General features: G+C 34.7%; 1 protein-coding gene and 1 long non-coding RNA gene across 10 annotated transcripts in view, besides 1 other annotated feature; one reads left to right on the plus strand and one right to left on the minus strand.

Moving 5' to 3' along the window:
- ZNF521 (zinc finger protein 521) overlaps positions 1-14,980 on the minus strand; it is a 290,243-nt gene that overhangs the window by 133,523 nt on the left and 141,740 nt on the right. The window lies entirely within an intron of this gene.
- Positions 1,105-1,305: a silencer, noted in NCBI's record as "peak3078 fragment used in MPRA reporter construct". NCBI's record gives its function as "represses an SCP1 promoter by STARR-seq MPRAs in K562 erythroleukemia cells {active_cell/tissue: K562}" and the evidence as "EXISTENCE:reporter gene assay evidence [ECO:0000049][PMID:32103011]".
- Positions 1,193-14,431, plus strand: LOC124904270 (uncharacterized). Its single transcript, XR_007066318.1, has 2 exons — positions 1,193-1,306; positions 11,756-14,431. It is a non-coding gene; the product is annotated as an uncharacterized LOC124904270 (long non-coding RNA).

Genomic DNA, 14,980 nt, shown 5'->3' on the forward strand with positions numbered 1-14,980 from the left:
CATTTAGAAGAAACAGAAGCACATAATTATGGCATAATATATTTTTAAAGATCCCTAAACTCAAAAACAGAAGGTTTTTAAAACCAGAAGTATTACAGAAATACAGTTTAAAAAAACATGCGTATTAAAAAAAAATCTACAGAGTTTCAGAAACCAGTGTCTTTGAAGATCAGGCACAATTTCATTCTGACCAACATAACTGGGGTGTTGCTTCTAGATATCCATAAGTAATACGGCTAATAAGTTAAGATTCATGGATGCTAGCTAAAATATTTAGAGATATAATTTTTGGCTAAAGTCTACAATTTAAATGATGTTTTAGAAGTTGCTAAGCATTAGTATTTAAATATGTACCTCATCCTATAAAGAAATAATATCATAATGAACATTCTAACACTATTTTATCATTTTACACAACAGCCCTGTGAAGTAGAGCAAGATTTTTATTATAATTCTTATAGCATAAATGAAGAAACTGAGGTCCAGAGAAATAGAAAGATTTGCCTGATGTCATGGTGCTGTACAGCTGGGAAGAGAAATACTTTTGATTCTAAATGCTAGTAGGCTCTCTGATTTCTGAATCATAAAGCAGCCATTATAATTTTACATCTTTATTACTGAGTCCCAGTACCTATTAGATGAACTCAATAAATAGAGTATTAGCTGTGTTTTCCAGAACACATACTTACATAAATTCCTTTTTGATGAAACTTAATATTTGTAATTAAAAACCATGTTGGAAGACAAAATAAACCATTATGAAAATAATCCATTTTTAAAATTTCCCAAACATGAGAAAATTACATTTGTAAAATCACATAAATGACATTTTCTTATAAGCGTTTTTTACAGAATTATCGTTTCATTTGAAATCATATAAAATTGTTTTACTGATGGTATTAATAAGGAAATACCAGCCTGTAAGTTACAATCAATTTTAAGGAACTGAAGTTCTTTAGAACTGAACAAAACCAAAGTTAAGCACAAACATTTAGCATAATTCAAGATTTAAAATTATAAATGCCATTAATATAAATTTTTCCTAATTATTGTAATTTAACATAATATTTTCTTCTGCAACAGTGGCCAATATTCCTTGTAAACTACGGAAGTACAGGCATATTTCCATTGGAAGCTGTCTAAATCATCTGACGGTCTTTGTACATTAGGCATATTGCGAACTGAATGTGCTGAATCTAAATCTAACACGGACTTCAAACACCCTGACAATCACCAAGGAAGATTGACTACACCGAGCTGTTTACAAGATGCTTTTGATGGTGACATATAGAGCAACATGTGTTACGTAAGTAACATCTATCCCTTTTTTAACACTATTTCCCTTTAGAACTAGTTAGAAAATATTTCTTACTCCCTGATGACCTACATTATATATTGTTTATTAGCATACTTCTAGCATTATTCCTGATATGTGACCTTGCTGAAAAACAAAGAAACATAAACTTAATGGCTAGTCTTTTCTCTTGTTAGCACAGTAAAACATACAATATGTCGAAAACTGTCTCCAAAAATGATGACTGATGAATATGTTGGCAGAATATACTAGGGCTTTTTTTTCCCCAGTCTAATAATAAAGAATAAAATCACTTGAAAAGCCAAAATAATAAAATGCCAGCACTTACTACTATCTTCAAAATGAACTGACACATGTAAGTTTTCTTTTATCATTGAATGAAAATGCTTTTGCCACTACTGATAATTCAAACATTAATTCTCTCCACTCATAAAACAGTGTCTAAAATACTATGTTATATTTTTTATTAACAAAGCCATATTCTTATCTATAAGCTCCTAAAGTTACGGCTAGATAAGAATTTACTGTGATCAAAAACAATGAACCGTGATTTTAAAATACTGAAGCTTGAACTCTACTTCACCATATTTTTCACATTTCCCAAATACAAAGCAATGATATGCAAATTGGGATGTGTTAAGGGTTTTCTTTTTAAAGCCATGATGTAAAATTCATTTTTACCCTTAATTTTTAAAACGTTGATGTTAAATGACCTTTAAAGCATATCTCATTATAATTATAGATTATTCGCAAAATATTTGAGAGATCCCTGCACACCTGTACACCATCTTTAAGTAAAGGGATTATAACCTCTGAACAGTGTCAGCCTTGGGGAACTCATTCCCTTGGAGGTAAATTTATTCCACCTCTGTGTGGCTAAAATTATGAGAGAATTCTTCCTAATTCTAGACCCAAATCTGTTTTTCTGCCACTTTCACCCATTGGCCCTAACTCTAAGCTCTGGTGCTACAAAGAAGAGGTTGAATCCATTGTCTAATATGACAATTACATTAGCCCCTTTTCAGACTGAACATAGGGGCACAATGTAAGAAATACTTGGAATTACCTCCCTTCCTGGTTACCTATCTCCAGGTCAATGTTTTAAGAAATAGAACCCCAAATGAAGTGCCATACTCCAGGTATGATCTGACCCTTGCAGAGTACATGAGGATTGTCATCTCCCTTAGGACAATTACTTACATTTATATAAAAGACAACAAAAAAAGTCAAGTGAGATAATTTCTTTTAAAAGCAGATAAAAGTAGAAACAGAACTTCCATTGTTTGGGCCCCAGATTGGCCTTTATCAACGCTTAAGTTGTCAATTTACTTGAAATGCTAATTTAGTACATTTTTAAAAGAGACTTTTTTTTTCATTAGCCTTTTTAAATGTGCTACTTGGGAGTGGGATTGTCATTTCCTGATTGTTCTCTTTTGTTTTCTGATACTGATAGATGTAATTATCAAGGATACAACTTTTTCCTAGCACCTCATTATTTTTGATTGATTTTGAGAACAATTTAAATGTGCCTTTTTGACATTCTTGTTTTCAGTTACACTCTGGTTAAGGTACTCAGAGACTTTTTAAAAAGAACATCTCATAAATTAAAAAAATGATTAGAGATGCTTAATAATATATAGTTTTAAAAAATTATTCTGATTAACCCTATTCCCCTCCATTCCATCCATTAGGACTCAGACTTCACATTTAGTCTTACCAAATTTTAAAAAGTAATTTAAAATAATAATTATTAAAACTTATACTTTGTAGAAATCAAACTGCTTTGATTTCTTTTACCAAAATACTGAATAGATTAAAAAAAATCAGTGCATAGTAATCCTCAAAAACAGAAAAGAAAAAAAATTAAGTTGTTACCATGTGAGGTGACTATTACATCAATTTCTTTTTCTGAAAATTGGCAATGAAAGGGTCAGAAGCACCTTGCTTTTTTAAGGAGGAAGTGTAGGTCGTGCCTATTTGATGAGTGAAAGCTTTTCTTTATAGAAGAATGACAGCAGAAGGGATGACAAAATTAGATATTCACCATTTTGCAATGCCAAATAAAATGGTTCAGGATAATCATTAATGGATGCTGAAACTAGTAGAAGACAGGTTATTCTGAGATACTCAAATTCCATCCTTTGATCATTGCAAAGCAAAAGATATATCTTTACATTTAGCTGATGGTAATTACTCTAACCAGACTATTTAGCTTAATATCACTAAGAATGGAAATGACGTGACATTGTGTACCTCTTAATGAGTTGCAATATGAAGTATACATCACCAATATAGTATCTTATCTAAAATGTGTACTTGAATCTAATTAAGTCTTTAGGCCTAACAATCCAGTTTTCAGTAAATACAGGCATAGGGGAACAAATATTACTATGAGAAAAAAATGCAAATCTAGAATATTCTTTCAGAGAAATGGCCTGTTGTCTTTGAAAAGAGGAACAACTATTACTATGAGGGGGAAAAAAAACCCTCAAATCCAGAATATTCTTCAAAAGAAATGGCCTATTGTCATGGGAAAAAAAAAGTGAACAGATGAAAGAGACTGAAAAAGACTTGAGCAAATGTAATGTGTGGATCCTGATTTGGGGGGAGGGGGTGGAAACAGCTATAAGAAGGCTTTTGAGGCAATTGAGAATAATTTAGATATCAATCTGACTATCAGCTGATTATTAGATGCTATCGGGATGTTATTGTTACCTTTTTTAGATGTGATAATGGTATTGGGGTCATGTGGGTAAACATTCTTTTTGGTAGGAGATGCATACTGAGTATTTAGGGATGAAATATTTGCAATTTACTTTCAAAAGTTTCAAGAAAAAAACATATATAATCATATATAAGTAAATGGCTACATGTTAACCATCATAAAATCTAGGTGTATACATGAACATTTTCATAAAAACTGGAAAAAATGAACAGGATAATTCATAACATGTAGTTTTTAGAAGCTCAACCTAACCTGATTAACCCCATCTCCACTATTCACTTTAGACTCCTTCACTTGATATGCACCAAAAATAATTTGTGCTTAGTTGTTTTAAGTAGCTTTGCAAACATTTTGGTATTTGTTTGTGAAGTTTTTGTTTTTGTTTTTTACATAAATCTAATATATAAACTCTAAGAAGTCAGGAACCATAGCTCACATAATTTTATAAACTGTTTCATACTTTAGTCTATAAAGAACTTGTATGTAAAAAAAAAATCCCTTGAAACAGTCCTGTTAAGAGTAGATAAAGGAGGGATTATTATCCTCATTTATAGATTAATTAAGTGACTTGGCTAAAGTCATACAGGTATAACCAAGCCAGGATTCTACTGTCTTTCACACACTGGATTTTAACACAGTTTATATTCTGGTCATTTGCAGGTAAATTTACAATTACATTTTAGGTGCATTTCAAAAGGAGGTTTTCCATATAATTAAGTAGTGCTTTGGTCTTTGACAATGCCAGGAATGGTAGGAAAAGTAACTTACGAGAGCGAAGGAACTGTCGGTAGCCACGTTAGCCTTAGGCTCCCAGTCCCAGACTCTTGACTAAGATTCATAGGATAGAATTGGCTCTTAATTCCTTTAGTCTATTTCAAGATTTTCCCTTTGTCCTCAGTGTTCTGCAGTTTTCTTTTTTTTTTTGGCCATGTTTCAAACTGTACCTTTACGTGTATTTGTCTTGCTCAATACAAAAATAATAATTTCAATTTGAGATCTCACTTATGTACTCAATTCTTAAAATTTTCAGTGATTAAAATCACTCAGTTATTAAGTCTATCTAAGACACTCTCCATTCACTTCTATCAGAATCCTTATTAGACACAGATTGGAGCCTCTCAGTCTATCCTCCATGTATTTTAACTGCCCTTTCATTCATATTTTAAGAATCTATTTGTCTTCTTATGTTCTAATCTAGATCATCTTCTCTGTACTCTTACAAAACACTGATTCTCTCTTCACAGCTGACCAGTCTAGAGTTTATCCTATCTAGCAAAGCTTTTATTTAAAATGACTATTTTTCATTTCCAACATTTCTAGTTTTAAACGTTCAAGTGCTTTTGTTTTACTTCTGCTTGGATTTGCTTCATAATTTGTCACTCTTTTCAGTGGAAATCATATCTTCATTTATCTTTCTGAGCTTCTAAACATGCTTATTTCAAAGTCTTTGTCAGACTGTTCAAAATAATTATTTTCTTCTTTTTTTTCTGCTTTACTAGTGTTTGATTCATTCACATACTTTGGAATCTTGGTTGAAAGCCCATTTGTAGTGATTTTTTTTTTTTCTATGTGCTCATTTCTCCCTTTCTAGTAGTTTCGCCATTGGTTCTACTAGGGCATCCCAGGCTACTGTACCAGAGCTGGGTCTCAGAGGGGCATTTGCTGCCTATCTGCTGTGCTGCAGGGATAGAGAGACATTGCAAGGTAAATCACAGAGGCAACACATGGGTAATTCAGTTTTATGTCACAAAACCGTGTCTTCCTTCCTACTCCTTCAATCCTCCAGGTAAAAATCCTAGTTCCTGGTAGTGGTCAACAGAATTACTTTTTCCCAGTCTCTTGCTGTGAACAAGAAATTTCCTCCCAGGCCCTGCTTCAAATAGTGGATCTGGATTTGTTCCATAGGGATTAAACCCTAATTACCACTTTCTATTGCTGGAAAATGTTCAGCAGACCCCTGGCTTTAGCCTTAATAACCATGTGGTTTTCTTATTTGGTTTCTGGATCTCAAAGACGAAGAACTGTTTTGGACTTGACTAAGTCCATTTGTTTTTCTATCTTTATATTTTATCAATCATTGCTATATGTTTGGAACATCAAAGCCAAAGTTACAGAGCCATTTTTCCAGGATGTCCCATAGCTCTCAGCTCCCTCTATTTCAAGGCTTTTAAGGAAGGACGAGTGTCAGATTTGGTCACAACCCTGAAATCAGGATGTTGTACAATGATGCTGTAAAGTACTCATTCCAAATATATCCAGCAGTCTTAGTAGGAGAGAATCTCTAGATTTTCTTTCTGTAATACTAACTTGCTGTATAGTTAGTTGTGTGACAAATCATTAAATGACCCTGAGTTTCCTTCTCTGCAAATGAAAAAATAATAAAACCTACATCTTAGAGTCGATATGAAAAGTAAGTGAGAATTATATAAAAGTGCTTGGTACCATGCCTACCACGTAGCACACCTGCACTAAACAGTAATTTTTAATGCTTACTTATTTACTAAAGGTACTATTTACTGCCTGTATTACTCTTTATTTGACAGGTTATTATGGGGATGGAATAAAATATGATATAAACTGTCTGTTGTCAAAGGTGAGTAGTTTTCACCCTTTTAAGTGAACTTTGGAACCACATTAAAATTTCTTTCAACTCGAATCCACTAATTTAAATTTCATGACAATTAACAAGGGTTAAACAAATGTTTATTAAATATAGCTTTAAAAATTAGTTGGCCCTCCATATTTGTGGATTTCGCATCTGCAATCAACCTCTGGTTGAAAAATTTGAAAAAATAAAAAATAATACTACAATACCATAAGAATAATCAAATAAAAAACCAATACATTATGACAGCTATTTACATAGCGCTTATATTATATTCAGTATCACAAGTAATCTAGAGATCATTTAAAGTATATGAGAGCATGTACATGTTTTTATAAAGAACTTCAGCATCCGCAGGGCATCCCGGAACCAATCCCCCATGGATACCAAGAGACGACTAATAACACAAATAAAATCACAAGTTGGTGACAAGGTTGGGTGAATGGGAAGAGAGAAGCGGTTAAGAATGTGTAAAAAGGTTTAAGTTAGCTAGGAGGAAAAAGCTGTTTTCAAGGACTATAGCAATATACATTACCATCCCAAGAATGAATATATTAATCGCAAATGCAATATATATTTAAGAGCAGTAGCACCAGTATTTTGTTGGCAAGCAAATGGATACTACATGTGAGTGAAAGTAATAAGCCAGCAGCTTTCCACAAATGCTCAATAACTCAGACATTCTACTAATTTAGCCTAGTCATTTTCTAAGTAATTCTGAATTTGTATGAAAATAAGTCACTGAAGAAAGAAGAAAAAAATGGTTATTGAAATGTAATGAAAGCCACTAATGATGAAAAGCCCAAATAATTCATTGAAAAACAAATGTATCAATATTCTAATTTGTATTCTTGTGACAGTTAAAAGGATGCTATTGTCTTACAGTGGTGGTGAATGTCCTGATAAAAAATCCATGTAACACTTTACATCATGCCTGGCACATGGCAACACCTCAACAACCAAGAGATATTAACCGTGATCCCTAAACTCAAGGCATTACAATGTGATTGGGGAAATAAAACACACAAACATTAAAGTGTTTTAAGTATTTTGCCTAAATGACATGGCAAAGCAGTTCAGAACCAAGTGCCTATTTTGGTGTATTGCAAAGAGAAGACAGAACATGTCAGAGAGTGACAGATTAATATGGTCTGGAAGAGTTAGAAAAAACTCTCTGGGAGAGATAGGACGTGATCTGAGGTCTAAAATGGGAATAATTTTCTTGAGTTTGAAACTGTTACAAGGCCTGGTGTGGTGGCTCATGCCTATAACTCCAGCATTTTGGGAGGCAGAGGTGAGAGGATCACTTGAATCCAGGAGTTCAAGACTAGTCTGGGCAAGGTAGCAAGACCCCATCTCCACAAAATATTAAAAAATTAGTCAGGTGTGGTGGTTTGTGCCTGTATTTCTAGCTACTTGGGAGACTGAGTCAGGAGAATCACTTGAGCTCAGGAGTTTGAGGCTGCAGTGAGCTGTGACCATGCCATTGCACTCCAGCCTGGGGGACAGACTGAGTGAGACCCCATCTACTACATGCCAGCCCAGTTGCTTACAGATGGTGGGAAATAGAAAGACAATTCAGAAGAGAGCCAGGGCTAAATTAGAAGATTGCTTCTGGCCAACTGACTAGACAAGAAAAGGAAGAGAAAAGAAAAAACCTATAGATACTTGTTTTAAATGACTGAGTTGCAATTTTTATAGTACCAGGGAGAAAAAATATTTATTTAAGTATATGAAGTATATTTATTGATACAACCAAAGCTCATGTTGAATTGTGATTCCCAATGCTGAAAGTGGCCCCTGGTGGGAGGTATTTGGGTCATGGAGGTGGATCTCTCAAAGCTTGGTTCTGTCTCTGCGACAGTGAGTGAGTTCTCACGAGATGCGGTCACTTAAAAGTGTGTGGCACCTCCCCGCCACTCTCTATTGCTCCCGTTCTTCCCATGGGAGATGCTTGCTCCTGCTTTCCCTCCTGCAAGAGTAAAAGCTCCGTGAGACTTCCCAAGAAGTGGAGCAGGTGGTAGCACTGCAGAACTGTGAGCCAATTAAGCCACTTTTCTTTATAAATTACCCAGTCTCAAGTATTTCTTTATAGCAATGCAAGAATGATCTAATACATTTATTTTTACAAATAAAACCCTAAACTCCATGAAGATATAAATTTAAGCTACTACTACATTTATAATTGAGTAAAAAAGTTGAGCCATTTTTAAAATGTTTTATTGAATTCTCTTTAAATATTAGATAAAATAGTATTAAAATATTTTATTTTCAAAGGTATCCCCAATAGTCAAAAACCAGGAAATAATTGAGTGGAGTCTTCAGAAAAATCTGACAGGTATGCATTAAAAGCAAAACTCAGTGTTAAAGATGGAGTCATTTCCATGGATCATACCAAACATGTCTCATGGAAGGAATTTACTACCTTGAAGTTTAGGAATAAAGAGTCATTTTATTTCTAAGAATAATGTTTACTTTAAGTTTAAAATTAATAAAGAACAACAAATAATCTTTTTTAAGTTCAAAATTGTCTCCTAACAAATTTTCTTCAAAATTTGTCTTTCTACACACTTGAACTCATTGATGTCTCACATTAAACACTGAAAAAACTGTGCCCAAGTTTCCCATGGAGAGAGATGCTTTATTAGGCTTACTCTCCTCCTTCACATTTTGGAGTCTCTTCCAAGGGACCAACTCATGTCCCTCCCTACACAGTCCACTGAGACCTTCCAAATAAGGTATCTTCATCTAGATCATCTCATTTAATGTTATGGTTTCAGTTGCTGTTTATTTCTATGCCATAAAAAATCTACCTGAATAAAATCTCCCATAGTGTTTTCCACAGAGTAGGCAGTCAATACATTTTGTTTACTGACTGTTGAATGGACAATCTAATGAGTCATTCTAAATCCATCACCTTCATTCATAAGGTACTTACCTAAGACTGGTCTATTTCTGCTTGCAAAACTGCCTACCCCCTTACACAGCACCAGAAATCAGTGAATTGGAAGAGGATGAATAACAGACTAAATTGATGCCGTAGTGAAGGTAAAAAAAAAAAAAAAAAAAAAAAAAAAAAATTACCAGAGCATGTGCTAATTATTTTTGAGCTAGGAAAAGGAATTTGTCTCTTGCTACTCATGGCTATACTATTTTGTTAGTTCCTATTTGAAGACATTTATAATTCATAGTAAATTCTAGTTAACTTCTTACATTGACTGTTTTATAAATGTTCATGTCATTCAAGAAAGGTAAGAAATTGAAGGTGGGAAAATATGGGTTTAAATAATCACTCTTTCAGAAACAAACCTGAGAAGGAAAAGAGAAGTCAAAATTTGGGGTTACACAAAATTAGGGCCTATTTTCCTCATCAATTATTCTGATCATCTGATTGTTTTCATTAAAAAGTATTGAAACTTCTTTCTGTTTCACTGTTACCAAAATAAGGAGCTACGGCTGGTAGATATCAAGGATGGACAATTGGAGAGGTGAAGGAGTAGCGACAGTATGTAAGCACACTGCATCACCATCAAATCACATCACATGCCCAGAGAGACCCCATCCAGAAGAGTGGTAGTATAACTTATAATCCCACCATAAACTAGGAAAAAAATTATTAGGGAGAATAAAGTATTTTAGAATCCATTAAGAAATACTTTCCTAAGTATATGGTTTCTGTCCTAAAACAAATTAGATTGGTTCATTTTATGAGTACTTGATATCATTTAATAAAAAGTCATCACAAATTTCAAAAGGATAAAACAGACAAATTTTTTATCTCATTTAAAAAATTCTCTTATAATTCGTTTACATGTTGTATCAGAATTATTTCAATAAAACTGATCCTGAACAGCTATAAGCTCTTTAAGGCTAGGTAGAAGGCTCTGTCTTATTCATTTTTTTTTAATTTGTTTGTTTTTTTGTTTTTTTGAGACAGAGTCTCGCTCTGTCACACAGGCTGGAGTGCAATGGCACGATCTCGGCTCACTGCAACCTCCACCTCCTGGGCTTAAACAAGTCTCCTGCCTCAGCCTCCCGAGTAGCTAAGACTACAGGCATGAGCTACCTCGCCCAGCTAATTTTTTTTTGTATTTTTAGTAGAGATGGGGTTTTGCTATGTTGGCCAGGCTGGTCTCGAACTCCTGGCCTCAAGTGATCCGCCCACTTTGGCCTCTCAAAGTGCTGGGATTACAGGTGTAAGCCAGAGCCACCGCGCCCGGCCCATTTTGTATCTACTGCAATACATAATTAGTTACACATAACAAATTAATATGTAAATGACTCATACCTGTTCACTGTGCAATAAAAATCTTTGCTTCCTTCTACTTCTCTTTAGATGAAGGCTCCTGTGGAGTCCTAGTCATTCTCTTTTGTTTATATCTCTAATGTATCCTTCCAGCTAGTCTTCTGTCAAAGAAATACCTCGTGTTCTGGTAGTTTTTGTGTCTTACCTACAAAATGTGGTTTGTCTTATACTAGATCATTTCATTTATCCATGTATGTGCCCAAATTACCTTTGTTCTTTATAACTTTTATCTCCGCTGAGATATTTTAATGCATGTCCCCCTTTCTCTTAGCAGTTCTTACTTTGTTTCTCTCTTTCTCCATATTCTTATTCTGGGTTTGCATTTTCTCATCCATCCATTCCACTTGAACAGCTTTCCTACTGAGGCATGTCAGACCACCCTTCTCTTCTCCTTCAAATCACTTCTAAAACCCACCTGCTTCAGAAAGCTTGCTAGCAATTACACCCACACAATGCTGTGGGTGCTGACTTTATTATTCCTGTTGTTTGTACTCTTAGTAAATTTTTTAGGACAGAGGTGTGTTTCTTTCACTTTACCTATTCTAGAACATGCTGTGCAATTACAATGTATACAAATGTGCAAGTGGTAGGGTTCTTTTAACCCCTTGATTTAACTAAAATTATCTAGATTTTTCAAAACCTTCCCCATTCATTATCCCGAAAATATCTTTTTGAAAAATAGGAAAAAAAATGCCCCCATATTCTCTGCATTTCCAAAGGTAATAGCCAAGCTTATATAGGGTATTGTGGAGTTTTAGGATTGAAACGGACAAGTAAGTTCATCTATTTCAAATTTCCTCACAGACAATGAAACAGATCCAGAGAGATGGACTGACCTTGCCCATGACTCACAGAAAGTGACCAACCTAGCAAGCCTAGGACCCCAGACTGCCATGAAAACATCCACATGTACATGGTGTGGCGGCTCATTTACAAAAAGGAGCTGCTATTATTGCCATCTTGGCTATCTGTGATGCTTGCAACTCATCGGGGCTCCTCGGGGCACAGGACTCCAGGACCGACTCTCCAGCACCGCCTCTCCATCGCCAGTTCTTGCTACTAACCGCTGCCTTCTTGGAGGGTTTTCATTTCCCAGTGTACACTTTCAGCGCATAGAATGTGCATATTATATTCAAAGGTTTCCTGTCACTTAAGTAGTAACGTCTTAGTTTTCTCTTAAGCTCTCACACCCAGCACACTGCCTGACAGAGAGCATTTGTGAAAGGGTGCATGAACTACACAGAAGTGAACTGATGTGAGCTTTTTATATGTACACCTAAAAGTAAACGTTTTCAGAATATCATGATGGAGGGAACCAGATTGCTGTTATCAAACACACCTAGATTCTGCATCATACAACCAGGTATAACCTCTTAGTTCCCCTTCAGGTCATCCCAGAAAGATTAAACTGCAGCACTGAAAAAGTTCTGCATAATCATTACTGATAATATATTGCATAAAGCTAGAAATTCTCCAAATAAAAAAAGTCTAAGAATATAATCTGGAAAAATAGGGGGCCCTTTCCCAACCAAGCTTCTGCTCCTTGAGAACATTCTACCACAGTATATAATATGAAAGGTGAGAAGTGTTAAGAAAAGGATAATATCAAATTTGACATCTTGCAAGGAAAGCACCGTGATTTTTTTTTAATTTTCTTTAGAAATCCAGGTGACAAATCAGTCATTCTTTTAAAAGACATGTTGCAATATCACTGTTGAATAGCCTTACTAGACATTTAAACATAGTCCTACTTCTAATCCTGCCAGCTCTTCACAGTCTTAATATACATAGGAATCACTATTTGAAGATATATTTGCTTTTTATAGGTTTAATTCTTTACTGAGAGAAACATGAAGCAACAACTATGTTTGCCTTTTGTGCCCAACGTCTATGAACAATGCTTGCCACACATTTGAAACTCAATTAATTGTTGAATAAATGAATGAATGAACTAGACTCAATCTAAACAGCATTTTAAATTTTGTATAACAAAATAATATCAATCTAGAAACAATTATGGTGCTAAAAGAATCTGTTTTCCATCAAAACTATCTTAATTCTCCAGTTTTAGTAAGTACAGATTTTAAGCTTAGGGGGTTTCCTGCCAGTTTTTCAGCTACTTTACCTGGTCGTTTAGTTTTCCTTCCCTCCCTCCCTTAAACCCACTTTTCTTTTTTTCCTTTTTTCTGTTCCTCCTCTTACTTTCTCTTTTTTGAAAAAAATGACCTTTATCAAACATGTGGTCACTGCTTATAATTATCAATTTCTAGATATTTATCAATAGCTTTTGCAATATTATTTTGTTATGCCAAATTTAAAACATTTAAAACCAACTTGTTACACTGTTTAGATTAATTTGAGTTTAGTTCATTCATTCATTTATTCCCCACACCCACCTCAGCCTCCTGAGTAGCTGAACTGCTGGCACATGCCACACACCACTGAACCCATTAAATTTCTTTAAATTTTCAGTAGAGACGAGGTCTTGCTACGTTGCTTGGACTGTATCAATAGCTTTTAATACAGCTTATTTTTGCTTCCTACTGCCTAAGCCGAACTTAAATGTAAAATTTCGAAGATAATCCTTAGATCTATCTTAAAATGAATATGTTAACAGCAGACTTTGTCAAGTTAGATTTAACGATGCCACTCGACTTCTAAATCATGGCGTATCTTTGTGTTGAAATATCTCTCAATTGCTTACTTAGTAGTAATTTTTAAAATATAAGTTTCTATTTTTTCTTTTTTTTTTGAGACAGCATCTCGCTCTGTCACCCAGGCTGGAGTGCAGTGGCGCGATCTTGGCTCACTGCAACCTCCATCTCCTAGGTTCAAGCGATTCTTCTGCCTCAGCCTCCTGAGTAGCTGGGACTACAGGCGCGCGCCACCACACCTGGCTAATTTTTGTATTTTTAGTAGAGACAGGGTTTCACCATATTGGCCAGGCTCATGATCTACCCACCTCGGCCTCCCAATGTGCTAGGATTACAGGCATGAGCCATGGCGCCCGGCCAAGTTTCTATTCTTAAAATAAAGAGGTTATACATCTAAATTACAAATCGTGGCCAAAAAGAGAGACAATTTTTACTACGTTTTCCCCCCAGTATGTAAATACTGTGTATGTGATTCATACAGGGCATCGTCGGTGGATTTTGGGCAAGTAATAGCCCTTTCAAACGAACTGCTTCTCAAGCTACTCATTTGTTTCCTAGGATTAGAGGGTAGAAATCCTGATTTTGGTATTCACTTACTAAACCTTTCATGTCCAATTTTTACTTGACTTAAATGTTATTTCTCCAAGATGTTGTTAACTCCCTTGCAATCCAATAATACTATTGAGCATTTTTCCTTTCTTAACTGTGATTATATTTGTCACCTATATGCTCATTTATTTATATGCGTTTCTACCTTTTATATGTATTGCTACCTGACACTATCTCTGACCTCAAATAAAGTAACATTTTATTTCTGTGGTCTTTACATTCTTTTTGCTCCCTGATTTTCATTGCCTTTAAGTTTGATTTTAAGACTAAACTATGTTTTTTCCACTTCATCAACTTTGTGGAAATATGATTCCTCATTTAGATGCACTTTGACTGAATAAGCTATAGTTCTAGCATTAGATGAAATAATTCTACATTATAATAACAAATTGAAAAAATTATATAAATATATGTATACATAATACATACATAATAGGGGTATGTGTAGATTACATACTATATAAATGATTTATCACATATGACATTGGTAGTGTGCTTCATGTTTAGCAAGAATTTTCATAGACTATGCCATCTGCTTTTCATGATACCTTATAAAGAGGGTAAAGTATGTTGAATGCCCATTTTAGCAACAAGGAAACTGAAGCTTAGGAAGGACTGGCTGAGATCACATAGATGACCCTGTCAACTGTTACATGAACTCATTTTTTTTCCCTAAGGACAATCTTTCCTTCTACTATACTATGCTGCATATCCTTAAACTCCCCATGCCCACAGCAGCAATCTCCCTATAACAAAAAATTTACAG

This window comes from Homo sapiens, chromosome 18, assembly GCF_000001405.40.
Source record: "Homo sapiens chromosome 18, GRCh38.p14 Primary Assembly".
NCBI classification, from domain to species: Eukaryota; Metazoa; Chordata; class Mammalia; order Primates; family Hominidae; genus Homo; species Homo sapiens.